Source organism: Homo sapiens, chromosome 18 (genome assembly GCF_000001405.40).
Source record: "Homo sapiens chromosome 18, GRCh38.p14 Primary Assembly".
Taxonomy (NCBI): domain Eukaryota; kingdom Metazoa; phylum Chordata; class Mammalia; order Primates; family Hominidae; genus Homo; species Homo sapiens.
In genome coordinates this window covers 58,632,037-58,639,387 of record NC_000018.10, presented here as the reverse complement: position 1 = coordinate 58,639,387, position 7,351 = coordinate 58,632,037, and the positions used below count along the sequence as shown (strand labels likewise).

General features: G+C 42.1%; 1 annotated feature.

The window, feature by feature from the left end:
• Positions 839-968: an enhancer, noted in NCBI's record as "active region_13399". NCBI's record gives its function as "activates an Ori minimal core promoter by ATAC-STARR-seq in GM12878 lymphoblastoid cells {active_cell/tissue: GM12878}" and the evidence as "EXISTENCE:reporter gene assay evidence [ECO:0000049][PMID:35858748]".

Below are 7,351 nucleotides of genomic sequence, written 5' to 3'. Positions count from 1 at the left end.
TTGCAGTGAGCAAAGACCATGCCACTACACTCTAGCCTGGGCAACAGAGCCAGACCCAGCCTCAAAAAAAAATTTTTTTTTTTTTTTTTAGTTTTTCCTGGGGCTGGTGCTGTACCTGTTAAGGCTTCTTAGAATAACTAGGATTGATCTTACATTCCACCTTAATCAGTGCCATTTGCTAAGTTAGTCTTTTGAGAGCGAATGAGCATATACTGCAGTGAGAAGACCGTGTATCTAAGAGCCATCCATTCATTCACTCAAGGACTGTCATTTGAGCCAGTGCAAGCCAAACACTACACTAACTGCTGGAGATAGAAGGGTGAGCAAACATCTCATAAGACTTACAGACTGGTTGGAGAGAGAGGCAACAAAATTAGACATTGATATTGATATTTGTCTTCAAAACTTTAGGAGTAATAGAATAAATTGCTATGTTAATGACAAAAACGGAAAGCGAGTTTGTTATTGCATTTCAGCTTTATGATATGGGGAAAAGTGAAAATGGGGACTTATGGGGTTTGAGACTTTTTTTTTCTTTTCAGCCAAGCAATGGGTAAGAAAGCATTGTGGCACAAGTAATGAATTCATCAGCAATGTAAATGGTTCTCTGAACACCAGGAATTAATCTGTTTTAATGGTGTGGTTTTCAGAATGCAGCAGAATTATCTCCACTTCCTACTCCACCAGTTCTTTGAGTATGTCTGGATCTTTGTCTGAATCTGTGAAGTGAGTAAAATGAGGAAGTTGGATGGGGTAGTTGAAAAGTGCTTTTGAAGTTATTCTTGTTCTTCTGTAACCTAGCCCAGTGGATTCTTCTTGGCTGATGCCTAGATAGAACCGATTTATTAAGACAAGAGAACTGCAACAGAGAAAGAGCCGGCTAAACTCAGGAATGTCAAGTGGAGATGTTTTAGCTTTATTCTATTTGTGATGGGGAATCACAGAAGATTTATAAGCAAGAGAGAGAGAGAGATGAAAAACAAGTGTCTAAGAAGATTGGCCCGTTGGCTGTCTGGGCAGTCCCCACGATAGTGTCTGTGGTGCTGGGAAGGGGTGGTGATGGCAGATTTGGCAAGAGGAGACTCGGAGGCTATTGCTAAGGTCTCATTACCGATGGGTAATAGACAGAAAAAAATGGATTCATAAATGAACACTGATAAAGCAAATGAGGATGAGAAGTGCTTCTGTAGCACACACACTTTAATTGGTAGTTAAATTATTCCTGTCACGTGCAGCCACATTTGCAGATTGGGAAGACAGTTTTTCACCCTGTAGTGAAGTTCTTTTTGTCCTCAGGAAGACAGGTTTGGACAGCTTACGAGAAAGGGGGCTGTGGAACACAGACAGCGGAAAGGGCCAAGTTATCAAGGGTGTAGTCATGGCCTCTCCTGGGGGCAACAAAGATGGGAGTTCGTGGGGCTGGCAAAACTGAGCCCAGAACTCAGCCTCATGGATCTTTTACACCAAGAAAAGGACTAGTTGCATGAGGCTTGGATGAGACTTAGGAGCTCCAGAAAGGGGAAAGAGGGCAACTGGGGTAGACTATGCTTCAGAAAGCTGTGGCTTGGAGTGAACTTCCTTTGTGAAATTTTGCTACAGGCAATCCTGATTGATCAATCAGGTAGGATTGATCAATCTCTCAATTGGCCATGTAACCATAAAAGTAAATGGTAGGGACAGGAAACATAATATTTTGCTAAAAACTCTGACTTAAGACCAGGTAAGCTTCATTATGCCTTTTATAAAAAAAGAATGTCATTAATAAGAACTTGGGCACTGCCTTCTTCAAGACTCCCTGACCAGCCAGTAGCAGGTGGTAACAGAGTCCAGGAGCCCCATCTCCTGACCTTTGCAGAGCTCCTAGAGAACCCTGTTCTCCCTGCCGCCTTTCCATTTGTTGGAGGACAGGCTCCACACTGTCTTGGTACATAAGGGAACAGCATAGTAACACTGTCAAATGAGCAATGGGACAGGAGGCGGCTGGTGATAATTCTTGCCTTAGACTTTTGGCTCTCTGGGTACCTGTCACGAGGAATATCATGTTCAGGAGGATTTACTCACTAGGTATCTGCTTCTCAGACTCGTGGGGATGAAAATCTGGAGTAGTCGTTCAAGTCATAGTTTTATCAAGTAGGTTTGATGCTTTGAACGTGACTTAAGAATAAAAGTCAGAAAATATTCTATTGTAGGGCAAGATAAGCAAGGGATCCACTAACTGTTTTATTCTATTGTTTTACATTTTTTAAAACAATTGACCCAGCATTTTGGGAGGCCAAGGCGGGTGGATCACTTGAAACCAGGAGTTTGACCAGCCTGGCCAACATGGTGGAAGCCCGTCTCTACTAAAAATACAAAAAAAATTAGCTGGGAGTTGTTGTGCGTGCCTGTAGTCCCAGCTATTGGGGAGGCTGAGGCAGGAAAATTGCTTGAACACTGGAGGTGGAGACTGCAGTGAGCTGAGATTGTACCACTGCACTCTAGCCTGGGTGACAGAGTGAGACTCCGTTGCAAAAAAAAAAAAAAAAAAAAAAAAAAAGATTGAGACAGGGCCTCACTCTGTCACCCAGGCTGGAGTGCAGTGTGGCACAATCATGGCTTACTGCAGCCTTGACCTCCTTGGTTTGAGTGATCCTTCTCCTTCAGTCTCCTGAGTAGCTGGGACTACAGGTGCATGCCACCATGCCTGGCTAATTTTTTTGGTAGAGACAGGATTTTGCTATGTTGCCCGGGCTGGTCTCAAACTCCCGGCCTCAAGTGGTCCTCCCACCTTGGCCTCCAAAGTGCTGGGATTGCAGGCTTAGGCCACTACACTCAGCCATAAACAGTGTTATTGAGGGATAATTTACATAAAATTTTGTCATTGTTAGTGTACAGTATAATAATTTCTACTATATTTATGGGTTTGTGCAACTGTTATCATACTTCAGTTCAAGAACAGTCCCATCATCCCAAAATATTCTTTCATGTCTATTTGCAGCTAACCCTGCTTCTCCCAACCTTAGAAAACCACCGATGTTTTGTCTCTATAAATTTGTCTTTTTTGACTTTCATAACATTGGAATATTTCAATATGTCGTCTTTTGTGTCTGGCCTTTTATAGTTAGCACAGGGTTTTTGAGGTTTATCCAAGCTGTAACATGAATCAATTGTCCTTTGCTTTTTGTTCTTGAATAGTACACGGGCCATAGCTTGTCGTATCCATTCATTGGTTGACAGACATTTGGATTGTTTTCAGTTTTTGGCATACAGGTTGTTATTTGAACTTGTGTTGTTATTTCTCATAGGGAGGGTTCTAGGAGTGGAATTGCTGAGTCATATGGCAAGCTTGTGTTTAACGTTTTAAGAAATGACCAGTTATTTTCCAAAGTGGCTGTGCTACTTTACATTCCCACCAGCAGTGTATTAGGGTTCCAGTTTCTTCTTCACATCCTCATTATATTTGGTATTGTTCGTCTTTTTTTTTTTATTATAGCCATCCTTGTGGGCATTGTGGTTTTTTTTCAATATGTTTTTTTCTATTTCTTTGTTTTATTGTGTTTCCATTTTAATATGCATTTCTTTATTGATTAAAGGTGTTGAGTATCTTTTTTTTCTTTCCAGACAAAGTCTCACTTTGTTGCCCAGTCTGGAGTGCAGTGGCACAACCATGGCTCACTGCAGCCTTGACCTTCCAGGTTCAAGTGATCCTCCCTCTTCAGCTTTCTGAGTGGCTGGGTCTGCAGGTACACACCACCACACCCAGCTAATGTTTTGTTTTCATTTTTTTGGTAGAGATGGGGTATTGCTATGTTGCCAGGGCTGACCTAGAACTCCTGGACTAAAGCAATCCTCCCACCTTGGCCACTCAAAATGCTGGGATTACAGGTGTGAGCCAGTGTGCCTGGCCTAACGTGTTGAGCATCCTTTCATGTGCTTATTAGCCATCTATAGATTTTCTCTGGCGAAATGTCTATTCAAATCTTTTGCCCATGTTTTAAATTGGGTTTTTGTTATTTATTTATTTATCTATCAAAAGATGGGGTCTCACTCTGTTGCCCAGGCTGGAGTACAGTGGCATAATCGTAGCTCACTGCAGTCTCAAACTCCTGGGCTCGAGCAATCTTCTCACTTCAGCCTCCCCAGTAGTTGGGAGCACAGGCACATGCCACCATCCCTGGCTATGGGTTTTTAATCTTTTTATTGTTGAGTTTCATGGGTTTTTAAAATATATGTTCTGCTCTCTCCGCCTCAGCAAACCAATGCACAAACAGAAAACCAAATACCACATGTTCTCACTTACAAGGGGAGCTGAATGATGAGAACACATGGACACGTGGCAGGGTACAACACATATTGGGACCTGTTGGGGGCTGGTGGGGAGGGTGAGCATCAGAAAGAATAGCTAATAGATGCTAGGCTTAATAACTAGGTGATGGATTGATGTGTGCAGCAAATAATCATGGCACATGTATGCCTATGTAACAAATCTGTACATCCTGCACATGTACCCTGGAACTTAAAATAAAAGTTGAAAAAAAAAATAAAATAAATAAAATATATATTCTGGCTGTACATCCTTCATGACACATATGATTTGCAAATATTTTCTTCCAGTGTGTGGCAGGTAATGATGGCTTTTGAAGCACAAAAGTTGCACTTAAGTTTCTTCCATTTTCAAGTCTGCCTGATACTCACTTTTTGTTGGGCCCTTTCATGTCTCCTCTGAACATGCTGGGAAAGTGTGGATAGCCAGGTTCCCCATGGTCTGCCCTGCACACACATGCAGCCCGCATCAGCCAGATGCTTGCCCCAATCCCACTCCACTCGCCTGCTGCCAGGATCATATCCATCAATAACACTGCTGGGCGTAGGTGTTGTCCACTGCTTCAAATCCAGCAAACCCCCTTGACCATGGCAGTGAAAATGCCAGTGCTTACAGGTGGCCCTGGTAGAACCCCTGTGACAGCAGAACAGGGTGGGGGAATGGGAGCAGCTCCAGGCAAAAGCACTGCAGAGACTCACTGTTAGTAACCAAAGCTGAGAAGTTTTCCAATCATAAATGCTTCTCAAATTGTTATGTCTTTGGTTGATGAAAATATCCAGCAGTTTTAGTAATGAGTATGTTTTGCTCTTACAATCAGAAAAAAGACCAAAGTAAACTGTTCCAAAGTAGTACATATAACATATGCAAATATTTTTAAAATTTTAAGTTTTCACACTAACTAATGAATTTTACTTAGCATTTGTGAAATAGGGCCTCACATTTACAAAATTGGAATTTTGCTCCTGTTCTGAGAGTTGCAATGCATTTTTGTGGTTGTTCTAAAACTGAAACTGAAGCACTAGAATAAACCATGACAAACTTTTATCTTGGAAACTTGGGTACTTTTTGTTCAGGTACTTAGATTCTCATATTTTGTTACATTGAATTTTGAGCTGGTTTTGCTATTTTGGTTTTACATAGCTCAAATACAGTCCTTCAGGAACATGATGGATAAAATACTTCTGTGTCTGTGAACCTAACTACCACTTATAATTTTGCTACTCTGGGGGAAAATGAATTCCAGGTTCCGAACAACACTCATATGCTTGAAAGATCCCTCTCAGATATATCAATTCTGATAAAATTGCATTTTTATTGTTGTTTTGCAATTTTTTTTTTGAGACAGGGTCCCACTCTGTTGTCCAGGCTGGAAGGCAATGGCACAATCATGGCACACTGTAGCCTCGACCTTCTAGGCTCAAAAGTCCTCCCACTTCGGCCTCCTGCGTAGATAGGACCACAGGTGCACACTACCACACCCGGCTACTTTTATGATGTTTTGTAGAGACAAGGTCTCACTATGTTACCCAGGCTGGTCTCAAAGTCCTGAATCCAAGCAATCCTCCTGCCTCAGCCTCCCAAAGTATTGGGATTACAGGCATGAGCCAGCATGCCTGGCCTGTTTTGCAAATATTTTTAAATTCCGTCTTCTCATTAAGAATATTATAGAAAGATGTTACCCGGGATGAAAAACATCATGAGAGAACAGAGTTTCATTTACATTCATATTTCTTTTGCCACTGCACTTAAGGGGAGAAAATGCCTGTTTAGTTGACCTACCCGAGTGACTGGCAGCTATTTTAAATAGATGAACTGGGCTGGGCACAGTGGCTCACGTGTGTAATCCCAGCACTTTGGGAGGCCGAGGCAGGTGGATCACCTGAGGTCAGGAGTTTGAGACCAGCCTGACCAACATGGTGAAACCCCGTCTCTACTAAATACAAAAAAGTAGCTGGGCGTGGTGGTGCATGCCTGTAATCCCAGCTACTTGGGAGGCTAAGGCAGGATAATTGCTTGAACCCAGGAGGCAGAGGTTGCAATAAGCCGAGATTGCACCATTGCACTCCAGCCTGGGCAACAAGAGCGAAAACTCCGTCTAAAAAATAAAATAAAATAAAATAACTGAATGAAGGTTGCAAATGCATGATTCAGGTCACATCTGCTAAGGGGAATCCCTGGACCCTGGATAGGGATGAATTGTTGGGGAGGGAGGTTCTCAGTGCTCCAGAGAGCTCCCCAAACACTGACAGTTCTCACTGCAGCAGGAGTGACCTGCTCAGTTCCAGCCTGGCCCGAGGACCCTGGCAGAGTCCCTGATCTGCCACGTGATTGGTACTAAGCCTCCGCCAAGAATATGCTTTACTGGCAAAGACTGTGCCATCAGCCTTGCCACTAGTGTTCAAGGGCCTTCCATGCCAGGAAGAAGAAAATGAGCAGATAAACCTCTCACGTACCAATCCCAGTCCACGTTATAGGAGCACAGAGCAGCATAAGAGCCTAATGAATTTGCTTTAATTGTTCAGATTAGTTGGGAACTGATTTGATCCCAGTCTCCAGCAGACCTAGGGTGGTCGGTGAACCAAGTGGCGCTCATTCATTCAAGAAACCGAGAAAATAACAGTTGGAACTTGGGAAAGCTGAAAAGGCCTTTCAGAGAGAGAGAATAAACATCTGATACAAAAATACATTTCCAACTCCATTCCTTAGAAGGAAAATCTTCCTAAAATTAAGTTTTAAGAAAATTCTTCCTATAGTTTCAGAAAAATAGAGATTAAACACAATTTCTTATACTCTACATTACTTTACTTGGAATAATGCTAAACATTTTTATGTCTTTACTTTTAATCTCAAACTCACGTGTTTTTTTCAATTGAGGTATTTTACTGAATTATTAAACATCACACATAGGTCTGGGGAATCATCTGGCATCTTGTTTGTGTAGCTGGACAACTCTTAGATCTTATTTATCAGGCTGCTGAACCGTTCCTTGTTCAGAGATACAGATACCCTCCAAACATTTTCTGATTTTTTTTTTTTGAGGTAAGATCT